The following is a 27977-nucleotide window of genomic DNA, read 5'->3' as shown; positions in this document are numbered from 1 at the left end:
AGCTTCTTAAATGTACAGGCATGTGTCTTTTGCCGTATTTAGAATCTTCCAGCCATTATTTATTTGAATACTTTTTCAGTCCCACCCCCTTCCTCCTTTCCTTCTGTCACTATGATGACACAAAAGGTAGCTCTTTTGTCATATTCCCACAGATCCCCAAGTCTCCACTCATTTTTCCCCCAGTCACTTAGGCTCAGGCCACATGTTCTGACCGGGGGTTTTATTGTTAGTTCCATTTCAAAGCCTTTGCAATGGTATTTGGTTCTGTTAAGCATGATCAGCAGTCTTGGAGCTGGCGAGGTCTATATCCCTTACTCAGTGCAGTTCTCAAAGTCCTTTGTATGTCGTACAGGATCACATCTGTACATACACACCTTGTGGGGTAAGCCCAGAAGCTCATACACAGCTTCATGGGTTTACTTTCCCAAGCACTTCCTCCCTCCCTGCAATCTCCCCAGCACTTTCTGCTTCCCTCAGCTTCCCCTTTTCAACCTTGTAGCCATGAAGCTGTTGCTGTCGCTTTAGTGACTCTTCTCTGCCACACGCTTCCTGTGCCTTTGCCTTCCTCTGGTGTGATTCGGCAGGAAGACCAAAGAGGGGAAAAAGAAGTCACGGGCACCCCTTTGGGACCTACAATCAGAGAGGAAGGTTACTTTCCTTCAGAGCTTTAATCACCTGAAGGCCCTGGCGGCTGCCACTGTCACTGTCACTGCCTCTGTCACCACCACTGCTGCCACAGGATTGCCTGTGGGCTAGAACATGAAAGTACAAAGAAAAGAAGAAAGAAAAACTGGGGATTCCCTTAACTATCGCTGAGGGTTAGTATTCCCTTTTCCCTCTTCTCAAGTCAGAACCAGAGCTCTCTCTGTTCACACCACTGTCTACTTCTAACTTGCAGGCTACGTTGAGCCAAGGATACTAAAGGGGGGAAAATGTCAAATTCACTGCTGTTTCAGTGGTGCTTCAAATTGTAGTCTTTCCCCGGTCTGCCTCCTTCCATTTACTTTTCAGAGTCCTCAAATAGCTGGCCCATGCACTGTGTCCACATTTTATAGCTGCATTCAGTAGAGTGTGCATGCTTCATCTCACCCAGGAGCAGAAACATTCTGGAGATGTTACATTTTACTTTTATATTTAAGTGGAACAAATTTGTTCCCTTGTAAGTAATTGATGTGTGTGTGTGTGTGTGCACACGCGCGTGTGCACGCGCACGTGCTTAGGTGTCTTTAATTTAAAGAATTTAAGAAATTCTTTAATTTTTTTTGAAGTACCATAACACAACTAGAATATATCTCAATATTGATTGTTCTGCATCAATTTTTGATGGTAGAGACTTTGTCGTTTTGAGGAGCAGGTTCAATTCTTCCTTTATTTCTGGAAACTTTTCACATATGGCATCTGTGGATATTTTTCTATCCCATTTATTAGGCTCTTTACTTAAGGCATGTAAATTATCTTAATGTTGGATCAGCATTAGCGTGACCATCTAAAGTCCTTCCTCCATGCCCTTGTTTCGATTTGTGTGCATGTCTCTTCTGCATCTTGCTCTTCCTAATTTACTTCTTTGATCCACCATGTGGTTCTTTGAGTTCTCGGTTTCTTTTCTGAGCTCAGTAATCTCCTTTTTTAAAAAAAAAAAAAAATCATATTCGGTTGCCAATCATCTGGTCTTTGAAACTTTGTTAAGTTGAAATCATATTTTAAATTTTACTATGGCTTAGAGAACTCTAGGGTTAGTTGCATCTGTTCCTTGTTTTATGCATTCTTCCAGTCTGTGATGGTTATCTGTCTTTTGTATACTATGATGGTTTCTTTCTTTCTCTTTCTTCTTCCTTTCTTCTTTCTTTTTTCTTTCTTCTTCTTTCTTTCTCTTTCTATTTCCTTATTTCTTTTCTTCTTTTTCTTCCTTCCCTCCTCCCCTCTTCTCTTTTTCCCTCCTTTCTTCCTTCTTTCTTCCTTCCTTCCTCCCTCCCTCTCTCTCTCCTCTCTTCCCTCCTTTTCCCTCTCCCTCTATCCCTGTAGATTGTTAGCATCATTGCTAAACCATTTATTTTTATTTCAATTATGGAAAACATTGTCAGACGTTCTATTTGCTCTAACATTCTGAGGGTGATAATTTGAGGGCAGGTGGGATGTTGATTTCAATCTACCTTTTCTTCTAAGATCTTGCTAAATATCATGTATCATGCTCTAGTCCATCCATGCAAGGGTGTGTCTTACTCTGAGGGTTTTGTTTTGTTTGCCCAACTCAGCACGGTGTCTTGGAAAATGGAAAGAATTGGGAGCCTTCCTACCGCTGGTGAAATCTAGGAGTGGCAGTTGAGGGCTTCTGTTCACAAAGGTATTTACTTTTTTCTGCTTATTCTCTCAGTCCATTTCTCCTCAAGTTAGAGAGCCTTACATCCCATTCTCAGGATCTGACTGGCTCACATTGTTTTTCCTCAGTATTGCTTCCAGGGGGTGGGGACAGAATGAGAAGTGTGCTAAACCAGCCATCCTCCCCACAAGAATTTATACATATATATATATGTACTATAAATATATAGTACATATATATGTACAATAATACATATATATGTACTATATATAATACATATATAAATACATATATAAACACCTATATAATATACATGTATATATGAATACCTATATATTTATATATATGCATATATATGTATGTATATGTATATATGTATGTATATGTATATGTATATATGTATGTATATGTATATACGTATGTATGTATACATATGTGTATATATGTGCATATATTATATATGTATATATTTATATATAAATGTGCATATATTTATATATATAAATCTGTATATATTTATATATATAAATGCGTATATATACATACGTATACATTTGTATGTATAAATACGTATATATTTGTATATATAAATACGTAGATATAAATACATATATGTATATTTATATATAAATATGTATATATAAATATAAATGTATTTATACTTATATAAATACATATATATGTATTTATAGGTATATAACTACATATATATGTATTTATAGTTATATAACTACATATATATGTATTTTTAGTTATATAACTACACATATATGTATTTATAGTTACATATATATGTATTTATAGTTATATAACTACATATATGTATTTATAGTTACATCTATATGTATTTATAGTTACATATATATGTATTTATAGTTATATAACTACATATATGTATTTATAGTTATATAACTACATATATGTATTTATAGTTATATAACTACATATATGTATTTATAGTTATATAAATACACATATGTATTTATAGTTATATAAATACACATATGTATTTATAGTTATATACATATATATGTATTTATAGTGAAATACATATATATGTATTTATAGTTATGTAAATACATATAAATATATATGTATTTATAGTTATATAAATATATATACGTATTTATAGTTATATAAATGTATATAAATATATACTTATTGTTATATAAATATAAATATATACTTATTTATAGTTATATAAATATATATAAATATATACTTATTTATAGTTATATAAATATATAAATATATACTTACTTATAGTTATATAAATATATAAATTTGTACTTATTTATAGTTTTATAAATATATAAATATATACTTATTTATAGTTACATACATAGATAAATATATACTTATTTATAGTTATATATAAATATATACATATTTATAGTTATATATAAATATATACGTATTTAGATTTATATATAAATATATACGTATTTATAGTTATATAAATATATATAAATATATACGTATTTATAGTTATGTAAATATATGTATCTATCGTTATATAAATATATATGACACACATTATATAAATATATATGTATCTATCGTTATATAAATATATATGTATCTATCGTTATATAAATATATATGTATCTATCGTTATATAAATATATATGTATCTATCGTTATATAAATATATATGTATCTATAGTTATATAAACATATATGTATCTATAGTTATATAAATATATATGTATTTATAGTTATATAAATATATATGTGTTTATAGTTATATAAACACATGTATATTTTTGTATTTATATAAATATAAATACATGTATATTTATGTATTTATATAACTATAAATACATGTGTATTTATGTATTTATATTTATATAAATATACATGTATATTTATGTATTTATATTTATATAAATATGCATGTATTTATATTTATATAAATACATGTAAATATACATGTATTTATATAAATAGATAGACATATATTTATATAAATACATGTAAATATTCATGTATGTATGTTTATATAAATACATGTAAATATACATGCATGTATATTTATATAAATACATGTAAATATACATGCATGTATATTTATATAAATACATGTAAATATACATGCATGTATATTTATATAAATATATATGTAATATACATGCATGTATATTTATATAAATATATATGTAATATACATGTATGTATATTTATATAAATATATATGTAATATACGTGTATGTATATTTATATAAATATATTTGTAACATACATGTATGTATATTGGTGTAAATATATATGTAACATACGTGTAAGTACATTTATATAAATATATATGTAATATACATGTAAGTATATTTATATAAATATATATGTAATATACATGTATTTATATTTGTATCTATATATGTAATATACATGTATTTATATAAATACTTATATAATATACATGTAGATATACATACATGTGTAATGCATGTATGTATATTCATATAAATATATATATATATATTCCTGGGAAGCCACTTTCCTCCCTCTCTCCCTCCTTCTCCTGCTTCTCCTCCTTAGTCTTCTCTTCTTCTCCTCCTTAGTCTTCTCTTCTTCTCATTCTGCTTTTTACCATTATTTATGTATTATTTTTTAATTTATTTAGTAGGATCGGGGAAGGGAGATTCTTTTATCTTTCTTCACTCTGCCATCTTTTACAAATAAATTGTAATGTTACTGACTCCAAGTTAAGATAAAAGTTTGCTTGCTTGAATGTGATTATTGCTTTGCTTGAGTTTGTAGATTATTCACTAAAAATAGTCTCAGGAAAACAGGACCTTCAACAGAGATAAAAGAAAACACGCCAACCAGCAGCTCTGGGAAGGGGCTGACCAGCCTGGTAAGAATAGGCTGACGGTGCCTGTGGAAGGTCACAAAACACTGACCAAGAAAGCAGTGATTAACTGCCCACCTGAGACTGAACACGTTTTAGAAGAATGTTTTGATCATTATTTCCTCTGCTTTCCCTTAAAAAACCCTAATCCAGAGGCACAACTCAGAGAGGTGATCACTGAAGTCTAGTTCACTGACTCCTCCCGGTTGCTGGCTTCTCAAATAAAGCTAACTTTCCTTTCACCAAAGCTCCTCTCTTTGAGTTTTTGGCCTTCAGGTGATGAATGGCCTGGACCGGAGTTCAGTTACAAAATCTCTGGTTTTGAAGGGTTATTTTTTTATTCCTGGGATATATTCCGGCTGACTTGGAGTTAGTTTTAGATAAATGTAAGCTTTCTAATGGATCTGAATCCACACTAACGGATATGAAATTATCAAGGTCTTTTTATTTTTAATCGCAAACACTTCATTTTATCAAATCTTAATCGTCTCCAATTTCACCGCAAACAATGCAAGGACCTTGTCTTACAAGTCAGTGCTGTCCAGTATTTAGTTATAATTTGGTCAGTCATATTGTTTTTATGCAGTCTTTTTTTTTTTTTTTTGGACTCATGGCCATGGTTACTAGTTTCTTTGTTCACCATTCCTCTGTTGCATCTTGCTTTGTTCTTTTCGTTCAATTTCCTTTTAATGGAAGAACATCTTTAAGTCGTTCTTTCAGTGAGGGTTTGTGAGTGGTCAGCCCTCTCAACCTTTGTTGAAGAATATCTTTACTGGCTGGGTGCAGTGGCTCACACCTGTAATCCCAGCATTTTGGGAGGCCGAGGTGGGAGGATCATTTGAGCTCAGGAGTTCAAGACCAGGCTGGGCAACATAATGAGACTTTGTCTCTACAAAATAATAAATAAATAAATAAATAGCCGGGAGTGGTGGTGCTCACCTGTAGTCCCAGCTACTGGGGAAAAAAAAAAAATTAGCCAGGCATGGAGGTGCACACCTGTAGTCCTAGCTACTAGGGAGGCTGAGGCAGGAGGATCCCTTGAGCCCATGAGATCGAGGCTGCAGTGAGCCATGATCGCACCACTGTACCCCAACCTGGGCGACAGAGTGAGACCTTGTCTCAACAAATAAATAAATAAATATTTTAAAATATATCAAAAAGACTATCTTTATTTCACTCATTCTTGAATTGTAGTTTAGTTGGGTATGACATTTCCCCCCATTCCCCGAATGCATTAGTGATATGATTCCATTTTTATTGCAGTTGGTGAGAAGTCTGCTGTCAGTTTATTATCCCTTTGATAGCACTGTGTCTTTTCTTTCTGGTTGATTTTAAGATCTTTCCCCTTTTCTTTGTTGACCTGCGCCGGTTCCCCTGTGATTCAGTTTTATTGATTCTTGCTGTGGCTCATGCTTTTAGAATACGAGGAACTATGTCTGTTTTCAAATCTGAAAATTTCCAGCCAGTATCCTTTTGATTATTGGTTTACCCCTGCTCTCTTTATTCTCTGATTCTGTCATTCCTATTAGAGTTTTTTTGGACCTTTGCATCATTTTTCTGTATCTCTTAACCGTTTATACATTTGCTATCTCTCCTTGCTGCCTTCTGAATAATTTCCTTACTTCTATCTTCCAGTTCACTAAAGCAGATGAATCTGCTTTTAAACCCATCCTCTGATCTTTTGCTGTCACTGGAAATAATGTCTTTCATTTTCGGAAGTTCTATTTGGTTCCTTAAAGAAAGAAACCGGCCTCTTCTTTTTCCGTAGAATCTTGATCTTTCTCATATGTTTGGATTCCTTATTGTTTCTAAGTATCTTATACAAACTTATTTTATACTCTCGGTTGGCTCTATTATCTAAAGTTTTTGGTAGTGTAATCCTGCTCATCATTGTGTTTGCTGATACTCAATCACAGGCGGTTTTTTTTTTTCCTCAGGTGTTTTATAATTTTGTTTGTGAGTTTAGGGATTTGTTCAAACGGCTTCATCTGTGTGACTTCAATGAGGTTTGACTGGGGGTGTATCTCTGGCTGTTATCTTTTTGATGTTAATGTGTAAGCTTGGGGTTTTCAAGACCTAAATAAGAGGTATTAATTCCAACCCTAGACCTACATGACAATAGCCTTAGAGTTACAAATGACCAGGGGAAGCATTTTATTTTCTCCCACCAGAACCCATGAAGAAACAAACTCTCTTGTCATCTCACCATGGTGGTGGGAAGACTTTTTTTTCCTAGTCCATCCTTTCACTGACTGTGTAGCCCTTGTGAGGCACCAAGGCTTTTCTCCTCTCCCTGGTGGTTATTGAATCCATTCCCCTACCACCCTAACATAAATTCAAATGCCCATTGATCTGCTCTTTAGGTTCCTCTTTGTTTTTTGACACCTGAGGGTCAACTTCCACCATAAGTTCATCACATGTGCATTAAAAGGAATATTTATTAAATTTTATCCTGCCTTTTAAAAGGTGCTTTGTAACAGGAGGGTTTTCAGGTTATCTAGTGTGCACTGTTTCCAGAAATGGAAATTGCTTTCCCCTTTAAAACTCCCAGAGCACTAAGAAGCTCCCACAAATTCTCTGGAAGAGGAATGTGATGGGGGCGGGGGAAGACTTTTCATGAATATGTAGCCTCAAAGAAAGATTGGTGCTTTGGGGTGCCAGACACTCAATGACAGCTTAAGATGAGTGAGGAAGGGCCTAGGGGTTGAAAGAGCCCTAATTGCTCAAAGCCACATGTCACAAGAAATTTTGGGAAGAAGAGCCACTTTATGAACTGGTTACCTTCATGGATTTTTCTTCCCTAGGCTCAGAAGTGGAAAAATATGAAGATCCATTGCTGATGGGAATCCTGCCCTAAGCAAACGGTGGTGAGACATGGCTGCTTTTAGTGCATTTATTATATGTGACCATTTAAAAGCAGGTACTGAAGGCTGCAGAAAAGTCACGAGGTGGTACTCAAAATATGGTTATATAGGTAACTGGGTGTGGCTCTTCCCTGAGGCACAAAGAACTGATTTTTTTTGTGTGCTCTTTGAAAGGAAATGTATAAAGTTGGTATTATGCTTTACTCAGAAAGTTTTTAAGAGGGTTGGGAGTGATGCAATCACTTTAAAATGATATACAAGGTTGAACACTCTGCTAAGCTTCAGGTAAGAGTATCCAATTGCCTCTTGGACTTCCCTGCCTGGATGTTCTGTTCCACATGCACCCCAAACTCAAATATATCCAAGACTGAAAACATCTTCTCTCCAAGCTCTCTCCTCTTCTAATATTCCCTGTGTGAATAAGGTGTGCCCAGTTGACCAAACCAGTAACCTGGGAGTCATCTTGACAACTTCCTCTCCCTCAACCCCTCTCTCGCAATTAATTGGACACCAAGTTCAGTGGACTCTACCTTCAAAATGCCTCTCAAATCAATCCACGTCTCTCCTTGGCATTGCTGTCGGGCAGCAGGGCCCAGGTTCCCACTCCTCTTGGAAATGACAGAGGTCTCGCCTCTTCTGCACCTTCCCCCGAGCTTGAGGATCTATCCTGTCCAGAAGAAATCCTTTCCCTTTCATATTTCTATAGAATGCTGTCTAACACTTTGAATTCCCTTCAGGCTCTGGGTTTCAGAAATCAACACAGAAAGAATGCCGGGCTATTCATTTCCCTCCAGGATGAAGTTAGAATCTTGAGGGCAGCGAGGAAGGCAGGCATATGCATTGTTGCAAACCTTCTCAAGTGATTCAGATGTGCAGCTCCGGTCAAGAGCCACTGCACAACGTGGTGAGCTATTTGAATACAGGGACCATGCCTTTCAACTTTGTATTCATCAAAACACAACGCAGCCAATACCTGATATAGAATCAGTGCTCAGTAAATGTTCCAGTGAATGAGTGAATACAAGAACTAAAGAATGATATGGTGCAAAGAAATGGATGAAAGGGATCTTACGAGCTACTTAGTGCAATCCCTTCATTTTTTTTTTTTTCAGTTGCCGTAGCGTTGGGATTGCTTGAGGCTCCCGGATGTTCACAGGATGTCATTTTTGGCAACCACAGACCACTAGTTACCCAGCTTTTTTAGGTGTTGTGTAGCAAGGAGGGATTTCGGGTTATGTAATCTGCAATATTTCCAGAAATGGAAATTATTTCTTTTTCCTTTTATGACTCACACAACGTCAGGAAATTTCCACAAAATTCCCAGAAGAACATGATGGAGGAAACCACTTTCCCTATATATATTTTAGTGGAATATATTTTATTTTAATGGAACTGCCAGTGAAGCAGTAGATGTGGCCAGCAGACACTGCTTTCCTGGTGTCTCCTGAGAACTCTTTTCTCTCATTGGTTATTTTCACCTGCCTTCTTCTGCAAGTTCCTTTTTGTTTGGGCTCATTTTCCATTTTCTCTGTATCCAGGTTTGTTGAAAATGCAGGAGCCAGTGCTTCCCAACCTTCCCTACTCCAAACGCCTATGCACACGCACCCACTTGCATGCGTGCACGTACACGTGCATACATATACACCCACACGTACATGCGTGTGTGCACACACACTCCTGGACTCTTGAGAAGCTTTCAAAAGGAACTTATAGATAGGGTGAGGACTTTTACTATTAATTATTAATTATTATTATTATTACTTATATCTGAAATATAACATTTTGGACACACGGAAGTGCTCTAACCCCCAAATTCCTGTTTGTCTCTGGAAAGGAGCAGGCAGTCTAGGATGGGCAGGGACACACAAGACAACTTATCTTTTGCCATATGCATTAGACCTAAAGTATTTACAAAGCAAAAGAGGCAGCTGTGGCGAGACAGAAAAAGCCCTGGATTCAGAATTAAAACAGCTGGGTTAGAGTACTGGCTCTGTCACTTGCTCTCTAACTCTCAGTTTCCTCATCTGTAAAATCGGGGCAATGGTACTACTTCATATTAATACAACCTCAGCTGCAAAAGACTGGTTTAGGTACCCTTGTTCTGAGCTCCCACAGACTCCTTGTGCTTACCTGGTGTTAACATTGGCTGTTAATACATGTGTCTCCCGTGGTACAAGGAGATCTTGAGGGCAGAAATTCTATTTGTCTGGCCTCCAGCGTGCCTGCCCTCAGTGCACAGCAGAATGGTCAATGAATGTTGGTTGAGTGAATGAAGAACAATCGGACATTTGCATGTTTTTGTGTGTATAATTCCTGTTGTACTATCATCGGTAGACCGCCAGGATAGTACAAATCTATTTTTATTGTATGTAAATTTGACATATAGACATTCCAAATTAACAGGAGTTGATTCGCTCCCCATGTTACCTAACAACTAGTTTCGGAATGTTGTTGGATCCCTTTAGGAGAATATTTCAGTACATTTGCTCCCCTGGTTAGGGTTAGGGGTTAGGGTTAGGGTTAGGGTTGTGTTCCCAGCACAAGCGTCTCCTCAATAATAAGCCTTCACGTGTGTGCACCGGCACTTTAAAGAGTTGTTGTTGTTGTTGTTTTAAAGGTGTTTTCTCGTACACTGACTTATATGCTCCTCACGAGAACCCCATGAGACAGGCAGGAAAGGTGTTCCTGCTACCACTTGATGGATGAAGAAACCAATGTTCAGAGACATTAACTGAGTCACTACACACCACATCAAGAGCAAGTTTGTTTCAGAGCTGGGCCTCAAACAGAATCGGGTTTCTCATTTCACAGTCTGGTGTTTTTTACACAATCCATTTGTTCAACCCGGCTGCAATTTGTGATGTTGCTTCAGTGATATTTTTTGCATCTCATCCTATTCCTGCTTCACAACTGCACCTCCTACCACTTGCCTCAGCATACTCTCAACCGGGGCTTCTCAGGTGCTCAACCAGGGCCTCTCCCTCTACCCTGAACATGTCCTCTTGCAATTTCCTGCCTCTGGATCTTTGCATCTGTTTTCACCTCTTGGTGGGCACCCGTTCCCCACCCCCACGTCACTGCAGGTTGAAAGAAACCCTAGGCATCCTCTCGGTTTCAACTCAAAGACCACCTAACTTCATGAAACCTCTGCAGATGGGCCCTGCTGGATGAGATCTCTCTGCCCTTGAATGCACAGAGCAGTCCATGTCTTGTTCTATATCCATTTCCATACCTGCTTCATTCCCTTCTCTACAGTGTCCCTTGCTCCGTGTTCTCACAGCCCCCTGTGCTCAGTTTTCACAGCACATATTGCCCTATGTTGTGAGCCTGCTTTCGTCCTGTGACTGTGAGCTCCTTGAGGACTGGAACCTTGTCTGACTTATCTCGGTATCTCCAGCACGCAGCACAGTGCCGGAACACAGTAGTTGCTCCAAAAAATGTTGGATGAATGAGTGGATGGATGAATGAACACTACCCCACACAACGCCTTGGATATAGTGGCTGCAAAATAATAATGGATCAAATTGAGTCTATAACCAGATCTCATTTCTTTTCATCCTATCTCAGTGAAAGATGAAGGTGCTTTCTTCTGACTCAGGCTGTCACTTCCACTCCTGCTCTGGGTTCGATCCCATCCTGCCTCCCCAGGTGCCTCACTCCATCAATTACCTCTTCTCTCAAGAATGTCTAATCTCTCCGTCTTCTCTGCCTGGCTCCTTTCCTTGCAGTAACTAAAATGCTCAGGTCTCTCCTCCTATTCCAAAAATAAGTACCCTCAATTGAATGGGTGTCTTCTTCCTCACAGTATCAAGATATGTACCTCATCGGGGAGTAACCCAGCTGAGTGAGCCCTTTACTGGGGAGCCTTCAGTGTGAGTCTCCTTAGATCTTTTTCTCTTAGGTTGGTCAGATGGCTCACAGAAGACTCTTCCAGCTGCCAGAAGTTTAGGGGCAGGGGCAGGGAAGAAGACTGGGAGTTCACAGCTTTCAGGACACATGCTTCCACTCAACACCCCTGTTTTCAGTACAGGACCCCAGCCCTCAACTAAGTCTGCGAACTCCCCATCCAGAGACCCTCTGCTTTACCCTCTCCAGGGAATAACACTCCAGGCTTCTGTCAGAGCAGGGAAGGGCCAGCCCCTCACTGGCATTGACAGCAGGAGGGGATTTGGCAATGAATCTACTTCTTAAAAGAGTTTTCAAACAGCCTTCATTATTTTGATACCCACCCCCCTTCACTTCCAGAGGTAACTCCACTTCCAGAGTTACCTTGGTCCAGCCTTTGAAGATTCCTGGGGGTGAGGAGTAAATCAAGTTAGCTTTTTGCTTTTCCCACTAAGGTCTCAGAATTCCTAGTTTGTGGCCTTCTTGGATCTGCTAAGTCAGTTGCCACTCATCCATCTGTTCTTCAGCATCCAAAATTTAGTTGTTGCCTCCTTTCCTGTTCTTCAACCCTTTTTATTTCATCTTCACTCCTATCCTTCTAATCCTTTCAAAAATCACATTTGTAGCAGTTCCAGTGGGGTTTTGGGAGATGGTGAAGTTAGATGTGGAAGTATGTGCTCCACCTTAACTATGCATCATCACGAGCATGGGTGTCTGCCTGCCTGTCTCATTGATTCTACACACCTTCATTACCACACCACTCTCCCTAAAACTCTCCAGACTCAGCTTTTCTCATCTGGCTCTCTGACCTGTTCCCTGACCATTCTGTTCTTTCAGCTCTCAGCCTTCGGACTGCCAAAACCCCAAGCCAACTTCCTATCCAGGAACCCTCCGGCCTAGAAGTTCAGATGTCTTGCCAATATATCTGTGCTTCACAACTTGCCTACTCTCTCTGACCCCTAACATTTTCACATACTTTTCCAATTCTGCCTGTCATAAATTTGCTGCTTCCCCCTAAGTAGAATGTTGATTCCTGTCAAACACACAGCCTAGCCCTGATTCCTCCTCTTCTCTCAAGCAGTGATATTGTCAACAATGATAAACAACTACTATGTACTGAGTGTTTTTTTATGTGCTGCTCACACTTTATACACATGTATAGATTCATTCTTCATCATAGATTTTTCAGCTAGCTGGCATTTATTAGCCCCACTTTGCATATGTAGGAACACAGGCTCAAGGAAAGAAAGCAACTTCCCACAATTTCCCAGGCTAGTAAAAGTCAGAGATGGAATTCAAGCCCAGATCATTCCAAGTTTGTGCTCTTCCTGTGACACGACACTGCCTCAGTCAAGGCATCAGAGAGGAAGTTAGAAAGCAGATGGTGAGAGGGAGTACCTGAATTGGAGGGAGTACCTGAATTGGAGGGAGTGGCCACCATCAGTGGGTAGACCATGGAGAAAGATGGGGCTAACAGAGAAAAACCTTCACTGAGTTCACAGTTTTACACAGCATTAGCCCTTGTGATCTTTAGTCGTGCAGGGGATAAATTACCGTGCCTGCCTGCCCACACAGAAAGTAAGCTAGAACACCACTACTAATCTATATGATATACACCAACATGGCTTAAGACGATTTATTGCAACTGTAAAAAAATGCGCGCCCCCCCCCTTTTTTTTCCAGAAAGGAAGCGTGGATTGCATTAATCAAGCTAAAGACTTTTATACTTCTTTACAGTCTGACACAAAAACAGACAGTCATAAAGATAAGCCCGAATCATCAAGAAAGTGCACAGTAGTATTTTGCAAACCCAATTTAGGGAATCAGGGAAGAGTAAAATCCACATGGATAAGGTTTCCCCTTACTTCCCATTCGTGATGGTACAGTGAGTTCATGTTATGGAACGCCCACTGCTCCAAACACATGGCAATGATGGACAAAATATAAAAAGGTAAACTCAAAAAGGCATGGCCAAGACAAAACAAACAAAACAAAACAAAAACAAAAGATAATTGTCTCCATGTTGAAGTACTAGGCTTGTTGCTCTGGAAGCAAACCATGGTAACCAGAAGCTAAGCTCCTGCAATGTATAGCGGTTCCAAAGTACCCTGAGCAAGATGGAAGACAAAAGCCATACTCACAGATTAAAGCCCAGGACTAGAATGGAGCTACCCACAAACCCACCAACCCCTGACTGTAAGTCTGACAAAAAAGAACTACCACCAAACTCTGCCAGGGTCTTTGGTTCTGATGAGCTGCAGGCTTAAGGAGGTGAGGATGCAGACATGTTCTGGTCTCGTAACTAAGAGTTGAGCTAATCCACAGCTGAGCTAAGTGAGTGGATTTCCAATATGCCCAAGAGCACCCTGGGGCCAGTGATATGGATATGTTCTATCAAAGGGTTTTGAGCCTAACAACTGACTGGTATTTTTCAAGAGAAAAAACAGTACTGAATAGGTTAATTTCCTTCCATTCTTGGAAGAGGCAAAATTAGAAATGATGAATTTTTTTTTTTTTTTTTTTTTTGAGACATGGTCTTGCTCTGTTACCCAGGCTGGAGTGCAGTGGCGTGATCATAGCTCACAGTAGCCTTGAACTGCTGGGCTCAAGAGATCCTCCCACCTCAGCTTCCCGAGTAGCTGGGACTGCAGGCACTCATGACTCCACCCAACTAACTTTTCTTTTAATTCTATTTTTTTGTAGAAACGGGGTCTTGCTTTGCTGCTCAGGCTGGTTTCAAACTCCTGACCTCAAGCGATCCTCCTGCCTTGGCCTCCAAAAGTGCTGGGATTACAGGCGTGAGCCACGGCACCTGGCTAGATTTTGCTTTTAAGTTTGAAATGCTTTATTTAGAGTTTATTAGCCACTAACTCCTTTTTTTTTTTTTTTTAAACTTTTAAGTTCAGGGGTACAAGTGCAGGTTTGTTACATAGGTAAACTTGTGTCATAGGGGATTTGTTGCATAGATTATTTCATCACCCAGGTGTTAAGCTTAGTACCCATTAGTTGTTTTTCTTGATCCTCTCCCTCCTCACACCCTCTATCCTCCAAAAGGCCCCAGTGTGTGTTGTTCCCCTCTATGTGTCCATATGTTCTCATCATTTAACTCTCACTTATAAGTGAGAACATGCAGTATTTGGTTTTCTCTTTCTGTGTTGGTCTGCTAAGGATAAGGGCCTCCAGCTCCATCCATGTCCCTGCGAAGGACATTATCTCATTCTTTTTCACGGCTGCATAGTATTCCATGGTGTATATGTACCACATTATCTTTCTCCAGTCTGTCACTGTTGGGGATTTAGGCTGATTCCATGTCTTTGCTATTGTGAGTAGTGCTGCAATGAGCATACACATGCATGTGTCTTTGTAACAGAATGATTTTTAGTCCTTTGGGTGTAGACCCAGTAATGGGATTGCTGGGTTGAATGGTATTTCTGTCTTTAGGTCTTTGAGGAATCACCACACTGTCTTCCACAGTGGCTGAACTTGTTTACAATCCCACAGACAGTGTATAAGCATTCCTTTTTCTCCACAGCCTCGCCAGCATCTGTTATTTTTTGACTTTTTAATAATGGCCATTTTGGCTAATATTAGTTGGGATCTCATTGTGGTTTTGATTTGCATTTCTCTAATGATCAGTGATGTTGACCTTTTTTTTTCATATGATTGTTGGCTGCATGTATGTCTCCTCTTGAAAAGTGTCTGTTCATGTCCTTTTCCCACTTTTTTATGGGATTGTTTGTTTTCCTGTAAATTTGTTTAAGTTCTTTATAGATGCTGGATATTAGACCTTTGTCAGATGCATAGTTTGCAAATATTTTCTCCCATTCTGTAGGTTGTCTGTTTACTCTGTTGATAGTTTCTTTCACTGTGCACAGCTCTTTAATTTTATTAGACCCCATTTGTCAATTTTTTGCTTTTGTTGCAATTGCTTTTGGCGTCTTCATCATGAAATCTTTGCCCATGCCTATGCCCTGAATGGCATTGCCTAAGTTGTCTTTCAGAGTTTTCATAGTTGGGGGTTTTACATGTCAGTCTTTAATCCATCTTGAGTCAATCTTTGTATATAGTGTAAGCAAGGGAGCCGGTTTTCATCTTCTGCACATGGCTAGCCAGTTATCCCAGCACCATTTATTGAACCGGGAATCCTTTCCCCATTGCTTGTTTTTGTCAGGTTTGTCGAAGATCAGTTAGTTGTAGGTGTGTGGTCTCATTTCTCGGTTCTCTGTTCTGTTCCATTTGTCTATGTGTCTGTTCTTGTACCAGCACCATGCTGTTTGGGTTACTGTAGCCTTGTAGCATAGTTTGAAGTCAGGTAGCATGATGCCTCCAGCTTTGTCCTTTTTGCTTAGGATTGCCTTCGGTATTCGGGCTTTTTTTGTTTTTTGGTTCCATATGAATTTTAAAATAGTTTTTTTTTTCTCGTTCTGTGAAGACTGTCAATGGTAGTTTAATGGGAATAGCATTGAATCTATAAATTGCTTTGGGCAGTATGCCCATTTTAATACTGATTCTTCCTATCCATGAGCTTGGAATGTTTTTCCATTTTTTTGTGTGTCATCTCCGATTTCTTTGAGCAGTGGTTTGTAGTTCTCCTTGTAGAGATCTTTCACCTCCCTAGTTAGCTGTATTCCTAGGTATTTTATTCTTTTTGTAGCAATTGTGAATGGGAGTTCATTGCTGATTTGGCTGTCGGCTTTACTGTTGCTGGTGTATAGGAATGCTAGTGATTTTTGCACATTGATTCTGTACCCTGAGACTTTGCTGAAGTTGTTTATCAGCTTAAGAGGCCTTTGGGCTGAGACAACGGGGTTTTCTAGATATAGGATCATGTCATCTGCAAGCAGGGATAGGTTGACTTCCTCCCTTCCAATTTGGATGCCCTTTATTTCTTTCACTTGCCTGATTGCCCTGGCCAGAACTTCCAATACTATGTTGAATAGGAGTGGTGAGAGAGGGCATCCTTGTCTTGTGCCGGTTTTCAAGGGGAATGCTTCCAGCTGTTGTCCATTCAGTATGATGTTGGCTGTGCGTTTGTCACAGATGGCTCTTATTATTTTGAGGCATGGTCCTTCAATACCTAGTTTATTGAGAGTTTTTAACATGAAGCGATGTTGAATTTTATCAAAAGCCTTTTCTGCATCTATTGAGATAATCATGTGGTTTTTGTCTTTAGTTCTGTTTATGTGATGAGTCACATTTATTGATCTGCATATGTTGAACCAACCTTGCATCCCAGGGAGGAAGCCAACTTGATCGTGGTGGATAAGCTTTTTGATGTGCTGCTGGATTCAGTTTGCCAGCATTTTGTTGAGGATTTTTGCATTGATGTTCATGAAGGATACTGGCCTGAAGTTTTCTTTTGTTGTTGTATCTCTGCCAGGTTTTGGTTTCAGGATGATGCTGGCCTCATAGAATGAGTTAGGGAGGAGTCCCTCCTTCTCAATTTTTTGAAATAGTATCAGTAGGAATGCTACCAGTTCCTCTTTGTACATCTGGTAGAATTCAGCTGTGAATCCATCTGGTCCTGGGATTTTTTTGGTTGGTAGGCTATTTATTACTGCCTCAATTTCCAAACTCATTACTGGTCTGTTCAGGGATTCAGTTTCTTCCTGGTTCAGCCTTGGGGAGGTGTGTGTGTCCAGGAATTTGTCCATTTCTTCTAGACTTCCTAGTTTATGTGCCCAGAGGTGTTCACAATATTCTCTGGTGGTTGTTTGTATTTCTGTGGGGTCAGTGATAAATATTCCCCTTATCATTTCTGATTGTGTTTATTCAAATCTTCTCTCTTTCCTTCTTTATTCGTCTAGCTAGCGGTCTATTTTATTACTTTTTTTCAAAGAAAAAAAAAACAGCTTCTGGATTCTTTCATTTTTTGAAGGGTTTTTCATGTCTCTGTCTCCTTCAGTTCAGCTCTGATTTTTGTTATTTCTTGTCTTCTGCTAGTTTTGGGATTTGTTTGCTCTCGCTTCTCTAGTTCTTTTAGTAGTGATGTTAGGTTATTAACTTGAGATCTTTCTAACTTTTTGATGTGGGCATTTAGTGCTATAAATTTCCTTCTTAACACTGCCTTTGCTGTATCCCAGAGATTCTGGTACTTTGTATCTTTGTTCTCATTAGTTTCATAGAACTTCTTGATTTCTGCCTAAATTTCATTGTTTACCCAAAAGTCATTCAGGAGCAGGTTATTCAATTTCCATGTAATTGCATGGTTTTGAGTGAATTTCTTAATCTTGATTTCAAATTTGATTCTTCTGTGGCCCAAGAGACTGTTTGTCATGATTTCAGTTCTTTTGCATTTGTCGAGGAGTGTTTTACTTCTGATTATGTGGTCGATTTTAGAGTAAGTGCCTTGCGGTGATCAGAAGAATGTATATTCTGTTGTTTTGGGGTGGAGAGTTCTGTAGATATCCACCAGGTCCATTTGATCCAGTGCTGAGTTCAGGTCCTGAATATCTTTGTTAACTGTCTGTCTCAATGATCTGTCTAATATTGTCAGTGGGGTGTTAAAAAGTCTCCCACTATCATTGCCTGGCAGTCTAAGTCTCTGTGAAGGCCTCTAAGAACTTGCTTTATAAATCTGGGTGCTCCTGTGTTGGGTCCATATGTATTTAGGATAGTTAGATTTTCTTGTTGAATTGAACCATTTACCATTATGTAATGCCCTTCTTTGTGTTTTTTGATCTTTGTTGATTTAAAGTCTGTTTTGTCAGAAACTAGGATTGCAACTGCTGCTTTTTTATGTTTTCCGTTTGCTTGGTAGATTTTCATCCATCTTTTTATTTTGAGCCTATGTGTGTCATTGCATGTGAGATGGTTCTCTTGAAGACAGCATACCATTGGATCTTAGTTCCTTATCCAGCTTGCTACTCTGTGTCTTTTAACTGGGGCATTTAGCCCATTTACAATTTAAGGTTAGTATTGGTATGTTTGGATTTGATCCTTTCATCATGATGCTAGCTGGTTATTTTGCAGACTTGCTTACATGTTTGCTCTGTAGTGTCACTGGTCTGAGTACTTCAGTGTGTTTTTGGAGTGGCTGGTAACCATCTTTCCTTTCTACATTTAGTGCTTCCTTCAGGAGCTCTTGTAGGGCAGGTCTGGTGGTAACAAATTCCCTTAACATTTGCTTGTCTGAAAATAATCTTATTTCTTCTTCGCTTATGAAGCTTACTTTGGCCAGATATGAAATTCTGGGTTGGAGTTTCTTTAAGAATGTTGAGTATTGACCCCCAATCTCTTCTGGCTTGTAGGTTTTCCACTGAGACATCCACTGTTAGTCTGAAGGGCTTCCCTTTGTAGGTGACCTGGCCTTTCTCTCTAGCCGCCTTTAACATTTTTTCTTTCGTTTCAACCTTGGAGAATCTGATGATTATGTGTGTTGGGGATGTTCCTTTCGTGGAGTATCTTCCTGGAGTTCTCTGGATTTCCTGAATTTGAATGTTGGCCTCTCTAGCTAGGTTAGGGAATTTCTCATAGATGATATCCTGAAATGCGTTTTCCAAATTGGTTCCGTTTTCCCCATCTCTTTCAGGGACACCAATCAGTCTTAGATTCGCTCTCTTTACGTGATCCCATATTTCTCGGAGGTTTTGTTCATTGCTTTTCATTCTTTTTTCTCTATTCTTGTCTGCCAGTCTTATTTCAGAAAGCCAGTCTTCAAGCTCTGAAATTCTTTCCTCCGCTTTGTCTATTCTGCTATTAGTACTTGTGATTGCATTATGAAATTCTTGTAGTGTGTTTTTTCAGTTCCGTCAGGTTGGTTACATTCTTCTCTACATGGGCTATTTTGTCTGTCAGCTCCTGCAATGTTTTATCATGATTTTTAGCTTGCTTGCATTGGGTTACAATGTACTCTTTTAACTCAGTGAAGTTCATTTCTATCCATATTCTGAATTCTACTTATGTCATTTCAGCCATCTCAGCCTCAGCCCAATTCCGAACCCTTGCTAGAGAGGTGATGCAGTCATTTGGAGGAAAGAGGGCACTCTGGCTTCTTGAGTTTTCAGCATTCTTGCACTGATTCTTTCTCATCTTTGTGGGCTTATCTACCTTCAGTCTTTGAGGTTGCTGACCTTTGGATTTTTTTTTTCTTTTAACAGTCTGGCCATGTTTCTGTAGGGCTGCTGTACTTTGCTGGGCTTCTTCTCCAGTTCCTAGTCTCCTTGGATTTTCCAGTACCTGGAGCTATCACCAGTGAAGGCTGTGAAACAGCAAAGATGTCAGCCTGCCTCTTCCTCTGGGAGCTCCGGCCCAGCGAGGTACAGACCTGTTGCCAGCCCAAATGCGCCTGCAGGACAAGGCTGGAGACCCTGGTTGGGAGGTCTCACCCAGTCAGGAGGAACGGGATCAGGGAACTGCTTAAAGAAGCAGTCTGTCCATGCTTTCACAGATCAGCTGTGCTGTGCTGGGGCACTGCTTCCACCCCTGGTTGGTGTGGGCTCTCCAAAGCCTGGAGGCCGGAACAGCTAAGTCGCCCAAACAGCAAAGATGGTGGCCCCTCCCTCCCTCCGGGAGCTCTGTCCCAGGGAGAATTCAAATCTCTGTCAGCCAGAGAACACCAGTAGGGGTTGCTGGAGGCCTTGGTTGAAAAGTCCCACCCAGTGAGGAGGAACAGATTGGGCACCTGCTTAAAGAAGCAGTCTGGCCATGCTTCTGAAGAGCAGCTGTGCTGTGCTGTTCTGGGGTACCACTTCTGGGAGCTCTGTCCCAGAGAGCAGCCTGCCCTTCCCCCTGGGACCTCTGTCCCAGGTAGGTGCAACACTGCTGCTGGTGGCTGGCTGGAATTCCAAACCAGTGGGTCTTATCCTGTGAGGTGCAGTGGAAGTGGGGCCCGCAGATCGTGCCGCTTGGCCCCCTGGATTCAGCCTCTTTCCTAGGGGTATGTACAGGGGTCTAATCTCCCGCTTTGCAGGAGTTGCAGTTACTTTTGCTGGGAAACCCAGGGCCGGAGTATGTAAAGCTGCTGGGTCTCTGCACGTGCTCAAGCGGCTACTCTGCTGAGACTCCATGTATCTCTGTGTGTCAGACTGAAGGCCCTGGTGGAGTGGGTTCACCAGGGGATCTCCTGACCCAAGGGTTGCAAGGATCCATGGGAGGAGCGTGGTTTCCCAGGATCGCACATTCACTTACGACTTCCCTGGGTGGAGGAGGTTCCTCTGTCTCCATGTTGCTCCTGGGTGGGCTGTCATCCTGCCTTGCTTTTCTTCATTCTCTGTGGATCGAGTTGTTTCCTTGATTAGACCCAATGTGGGTACCTGGATGTTTCAGTTGAAGGCGCTGTATTTACTCGCCCCTTTCCTTCCCCTCCATGAGAACCACTCACCCTAGCTGCTTCTAGTCAGCCATCTTGGCCACTCCCTCCCCGCCCCCCACCTTTTTTTTTTAAATGCTTGAAAACTATTTGCAAAAGAAACCTAGAGATTCTCATGGTTCTTTTAAGATCTTGTTGGATGGACTGTGAAAGTGGGATTATTGTCTATGAATGGTCAGCTAGACTGTGTGTGTGTGGAAAGGGTGAGGGAATTAACATTTATTGAGCAAAAGGGCATGCTAGTTAAAATCATTGTCTCTGGGGACAGATTTTTCTGGGTTTTAATCCAAACTCTGACACGTATTAGCCGTGTGACCTCTATTTTTCATTTGTAAAATGGAGATGGGATTGTTGCGGGGATTAAAAGCACTTACAACAGTCCAGGATATAGAAAGCACTGTGTAAGAGCTGGCTGTCATATATTAGTCATCAGTCATCATACTTAATAATCACAAAATTGTTAGAAAATCCTGTGAGGTAGGTATTTTCCTTACCATACCCATATGAGAAAACTTAAGCAAGGAGAAGTCAAACAAAGTTACCAAAGTCACACAATTACGGAGTGACAGAGCCTTTAGACGCTGCCTAGTCCAAGGCTTTCATTTCACAGAAGAGAAAACTGAAGTTCAAAATAGGAGAGGGACATGCCTGAAGTCATTTAGTGAGCCAGTGACAGAACTGGGCCTAGAACTCAGCAGCAGGACTCTTCCTGTCAGTAGTTCTCAAACTTTGTCATGTGTTACAATCCTGCAGAGGACTTGCTAAAACAAACTGCTGGTACCCATGCCTAGAGTTTCTTACTTAGTAGGCGTGGGGTGGGCCTTGAAAATTTGCATTTCTAAGGAGTTCTCAAATGATGCCACTGCTGGTGGTCTGGGGACCCTACTTTGGGAACCACCACAACACACCATAATTCATACATCTTTTGTTCTTTTCATCATGGACTACACAGTGTGTGACCTACAAACACTTTCAAAGAAATGGGAACCGGTGATGAAAACCAAAGAAAATTACATATCTAGCAGCAAGAAGGTACGGTGACTGACCAACAGTCCTGGTTTGTGTGGGACTCTCCTACTTTTAAAATGGAAAGTCCTGTAGTTCTGGGCACAAGAGGATGGTTGGTCACTCTAGATGAAAGCAAACAAAAGTCAGTGTCAGCTAAATGCCAAACGAAAAAGGACATACATACAGAGAATGTGGTAACTTCTGGTGAATTTGTTTGAAAAGGACCCATTCATTTATTCTTCCAACACATCTGTATTATAAAACTACTATCCATAAGGCACTGTGTTAGGTGCTGTGTTCCTGACCCTACAGATCCCATTCCACCATAGCAAAAGGTAAAAGTGACTCTACAGTGAGCTTGGTAGACATAGACCCATGCTTATATACTCAGGGACACCTGGAAGAGATATAAAAACAGAAACATCTCACATAGGAAGTTTTCAATGCATCGTGATCAGGACTCAAATAATCCCCTTCTCTTTTTCTTCAGTGTACTAAAGGGAGCACATTGTTGAGAAGGACCGGTTGCAAATTTCCAAAAAGGAGAGTAAAATAATTAATGAGTCAAGGTCTCAGGAGAGACAGAAGGTAAGGGGAGTCCTTCAGTAAGTGGGGAAATTGATTTGTTTTGTGTCCTCATCTCTCCAGGGCCATGAGCATGTCCTTTGCTGGCCATAAGTCAATGCTGATGACCTCAGTTATAGTGTAATCTTCAAGGCTAATTTACGCAAAACTTCAGAAATGGTAAACATCCTCATGAAGACTAATGATGACATATTTTAGGAGTGCATAATAGTAGGTATAGAGAAAAAACTGCAGGGTAAAATGTTATTGCTGTTCTTATTGCTAAAGGGCATACTCCTTAAGAACCAAAGTTAATTATCAGTCCTTTGACCTAAGAGGAAAACAAATTTCAGGGACTCCCCTAAAGATTCCTATGTAGTACAAATAAAATGCCAAAATATTTTGGAACACATTTTGGAGCACTGGATAGGTCAATAAAATAATGTGTAAATTGCCAAATGTGATCTAGGAACTCCCTGCAAACATCAGATTAGGCTCTATTCTCTATCTGAATACTGACTTTGCTTTGCTTTGTAACTCCTATCTTCACTAATAATGCCTTTTCCCCCCTCTTGTGTGCATCCTAGCCTATATTCTCTTTCATCATTCTACAGTGGTCAATGTGGTTATTGTACAGCTTCACTTTCAATGAAAGCTGAGGGAAAAGAAGCCTCATACCCTGCCCCCCTCCCCGCCCCCGCCAATACGTAAAAGAAGCCATTTAAAAAATAAAAGCAGCAAGCTACTAAATTTGACTCATTCAAATCTTGGCAATTAGCATGTATAGTATGTTATGAGAGAGAGAGAGAGAAAATTAGCAGAAATGGAGGAAAACATATTACATCCTAAATACCACCAAATTGCCAAAATACACATTTGGGTAGTAATCTCCAGAGAACTCTCTGGAGGCACAGCATCTATCATGCTGATTTCCCTGAACAATATTACAGAATAGCCCTGTGTACTTTCTCTTGGGGGGGGAGGTGTAAAGAATTATCATATGGAACCTCACAAGTCTCTAAAACCTTTCTGCAATTATCCCTCATAGGATTACCACACTGATGAGTTTGTTCAACAGGCGCTGTTGTGACTTCCTAATTTAACTCCTATAGAGATGATTTGTGTGGAAGATAAAACACTATATTTGAACTCAATTCCCACCTTATCCCTGAGCTTATGCTACCAAGCAATTCTTACAATGTTTGGAGTTCTATTAGACTACAGAGAAGAATCTAGGGTTTCAGCTAAACCCTTTAATCCACAGGCCTAGGTAAAGGACTGTCTCAAGGTAGTCGCTAGCCCATGGGTTCTCAAAGTATGGTCTGAAGACCCCTGGAGGAGTCCCTGAGACCCTTTTCGTGGGTCTGCAGATTAAAAATTATTTTGTATAATAACACCAAGATGAGTTACATTCAATTAGGCATTTTTCTTTTGAAATTAAGCAGACTTTTGGAAACTAAGATGTGCATAGCCCTGTAGTAGGCTAAGTGGAAGTTACAAAGGCAGTAGTAGCTTTTTTTCCCCCTCTCGTTATCTCATGAGGATACAGAGGACTTTTCCAGAGGCTACATGACATATGGTTATGTCATCTCTCTCATAGCTGAGGGATGTGTGCTTCTGTGTTCTTCTTGAGCTTTAAATATTTCTCAGTCTTAATACCTAAAATAATTAGTATCAATAGATAGAACCCACACCCAAGAACTCCTTGGGGCCTTCAATAACTTTTAAGAGTGTTAAGGTGTCCTAAGACCAAACATTTTGCAAATTGTTGCTTTATCAGGATTTTTGTTATTTCTAGAATGCATTTCTTTCTAACTGATCTACTTGGGAAAAAAATCGTTACCTCATGGCAATTATTGCTTTCCTATCAATATGGAGATTATATTTCTGAAGGAGACTGACCAAAATTATATTAAAAGGTTTAAATCAAACAAGTGGATCCATGTTATAACATGAGGAAGAGAGCTGCCCCACTAGATGTCTGACATTAGATAACTCAGAGTCCCGCCTCTCCAACAAGTCTCCCTTACTAGAGAAACGGACAGATTCTGTTTTGTGGGATGGGATAAGGAGACAATCTGAAGTAGAGTTTGACACAATATTATTCTGCCCATATGAAATTCTGGTAGCCAGGGTGCCAGGTGTATTCATAATCCAGATGCTGTCAATTTTAAGCCTGAAGCCCCAAGAGGCGAGCAGTGTTTAATACATCATCTCTTGTTAAATAGCAGCCACACAGTTGGCGGTAGCCAGTGAAGCATTCCCTGCCATGTAGGACACGCCAGTTGTCTATAAATAGGACCTGTGAATGGGCCAAAAAAAAAAAAAAAAAGAGAGAGAAAACACTGTCAGAAGAAGGACAGACCAAAGGAACCCTAAGTCAGAAGAGATCATTTAAAAGATAACCTTTAGGTTGTTTTCTGGTTGCATTAAATGAGATATTTTTCTTTTGAAATTAAACAAACTTTTGGAAACTAAGATGTGTATAGCCCTGTAGTAGGCTAAATGGAAGTTACAGAGGCAACAGTAGGTAATGGGCCCTGCACTGGAGGAGCTTCTGTTTCTCAAGTAATTGTTCTCTTATCAAAGTAAATCAGATAATTGGTTTGTTTCTTTTTCTTTTTCTTTAATTCTTATTCTACCCTTTCTCAAAGGGTTAAATTATCTCATGACATTTTATGCTAAGCTGAAGGTATTTTTCATCCAGAGGAAATACCAAAAATAAAAACTATGGAATCATGAAGCTGGAAGGACCCTTGGGGGTCATCTAGTTAAACCCCTTCATCATACAAATAGAGTCACTGATGCCTTAGAGATGGGATGAGGCTTGCTTCCAGAGCATTCAGTGAGTGGGCGGCAGGACCATAAACAAAACCAAGGACTCTTTTCTCTTTTTCCTTTGCAACATCGTGACTCACATATTAAGTAAGTACCCGTTCTTCACTGCTTCAGTATTACAAGCTTGCTTGACATCTTTAGAGATTAGGACCCACCCTGCCAGGCTTTAGTTTGACCCAAAACTCATTCTCAGGTCTCCTCAACTCTATCGTTAGAGTCCGGTGTGCTGTATACCAGCGATGGACGACATCATAAGGAACGGTATTGATGACAGCCCGGTCATAGTTGTTGTACCTAACATGGAATCATGAGAAGAAAGATCTCAAACACATGTTAAAGACATCTTTTGTTTATTGAACAATTTTATATAAGGCTTCCCCTATGTTCAATACTTGTCCCAGAGACGAAGTGACGATAAGTCAATATTCTCTCAGGAATATCACATTGGAGTGAGGAGTTCCACTGCCTGTTGACCGTGTTTTGTTTTTCTTTGAATAATCTAAGGATACGGGATAGAAGTTAAGTTCCAACTGTTTCTCTCATCTTATGATATGATATTTTAAGTCTTTACTGGCCAAAGGTCATGGAAGCACTGGGGAAAGCGCTGAGCTTTCTCCTCACCAAGCTGAGGTGGGGTGGACAAGAGAGGTTGTACTAACAAAGCTTTCCTTTTAACAGGATGACTTACAACTTAAGTGTCTCCCTTTGTGGGAGGAATCCCAGCTATAGCCTAGTGGACCATTCACCCAGGGATCTTCAATCATTCGTTCAACCCTAACATTTATATGCGCACCAGCTACATGCTAGGCAGTGCGTCAGGCATTAAAGATACAAGGACGAATACAGCAGACACGACCTCAGTCTTTGGACAGAGTTTACCTTCTATTGAGGAAGATAGATGATAAACAAGTAATAAATACATAAACAAAGTAATTTCAGCTAGCTATAAATGCTATGAAAAAATAATAGTGTTATATAATAAAGAGCGACTGGGAAATCTATTTCACATGGAGTGTTAAGTGAAGGACTTTTTGAAGAAGCGACATTTGAGCTGTTACCTGTATGATACGAGACCAACAATGTAACAGGCTGAGGGGAGAGCATTCCAGGCAAAGGGAAAAGCAAAAACACAGCCTTGGAGTGGAATGGAGTTTTATTCTGTTTGCCGACCAGTAAGAAGGTCACGTGGCTGGAGCTGAGTAAGCAAGGGGAATAATGGTGGGAGAAATTACGTGGAGGAGGTAGTCAGGGGCTAGATCATGTATATATTGCCATGCAGGCCATGGTAAGGACTTTGGATTTTATTCTGAGTACCATGGGAAGCCACTGAAAAACCTTGCCTAAGATAATGGGTTTCTGTTTTGCCTAAGGCAAATTAACTTTTTACTGAAGTATACTATACATTACGGAAAAAGTACACAAATCGTAAGCTTGATGAATTTTCATGATGTAATCGCATCCATATCACTAGCACCCAGGTCAATAAACAGATCATTACCAGAACCCCAGAACCCTCCCTTATGCCCCTTTCCAGTAACGCCCATCCCCCAACCCACGGGTAACTACCATCCTGACTTCTATCACCAAAGATTAGTTTTGCCTGTTTATATAAAACTTTATATAATTGCAATCACAATATGTATTCATTTTGTGTCTGGCTTCTTTCATTTAATATTATGTTTAGGAGTTTCATCATTGCTTAGCAATAGTTTATTGGTGCTATATGGAAGTTGAGTGCGTGATCACACCACAGTTTATCCATTCTACTGTTGATGGACATATGAGTAATTTCCGGTTTGGAACTACTACAAACAGTGCTGTTATGAACATTCTATTACATGTCTTTTGGTGAACAAATATATTCACTCCTGTTTGAAATAAACTTAAGAATGGAACTTATGGATCATAAGGTATGTGTATGCTCAGATTTACTAGATACTGCCAAAGATATTCTTTCCAAAGATAAATTAACATCCAATGGTGCCATTTTTGGATATCTCAGGCAATATTCCTTAGTGTTAGATAGTACATGGCACAATCAGAGCCAACATTCTTAGTTTTGTTGCATATAAAATGAGCATAATAACATCTGCTTAGCTGATCTCACAGGGCTACTGCAAGAATCAAATGCAAAAATAGGCCGGGCGCGATGGCTCACGCCTGTAATCCCAGCACTTTGGGAGGCCAAAGCGGTCAGATCACCTGAGGCCAGGAGTTCAAGACCAGCCTGGCCAACATGGCGAAACCCCATCTCTACTAAAAATACAAACAAAACAAAACAACAAAAAAATTAGCCAGGCGCGGTGGCACGCGCCTGTAGTCCCAGCTACTTGGGAGACT

General features: G+C 39.6%; 1 long non-coding RNA gene and 1 pseudogene across 1 annotated transcript; one reads left to right on the top strand and one right to left on the bottom strand.

The window, feature by feature from the left end:
- The first annotated feature begins 508 nt into the window (after positions 1-508).
- On the top strand, positions 509-27546 carry LOC101927830 (uncharacterized). The gene is made up of 4 exons (NR_109985.1): positions 509-818; positions 7973-8035; positions 22726-22823; positions 26316-27546. It is a non-coding gene; the product is annotated as an uncharacterized LOC101927830 (long non-coding RNA).
- Positions 22445-25102, bottom strand: TMLHEP1 (TMLHE pseudogene 1; annotated as a pseudogene).
- Positions 27547-27977: the final 431 nt, after the last annotated feature.

The sequence above is a fragment of the Homo sapiens genome, chromosome X (assembly GCF_000001405.40).
Source record: "Homo sapiens chromosome X, GRCh38.p14 Primary Assembly".
NCBI lineage: Eukaryota > Metazoa > Chordata > Mammalia > Primates > Hominidae > Homo > Homo sapiens.
This window is presented reverse-complemented; position numbering and strand designations above follow the sequence as displayed.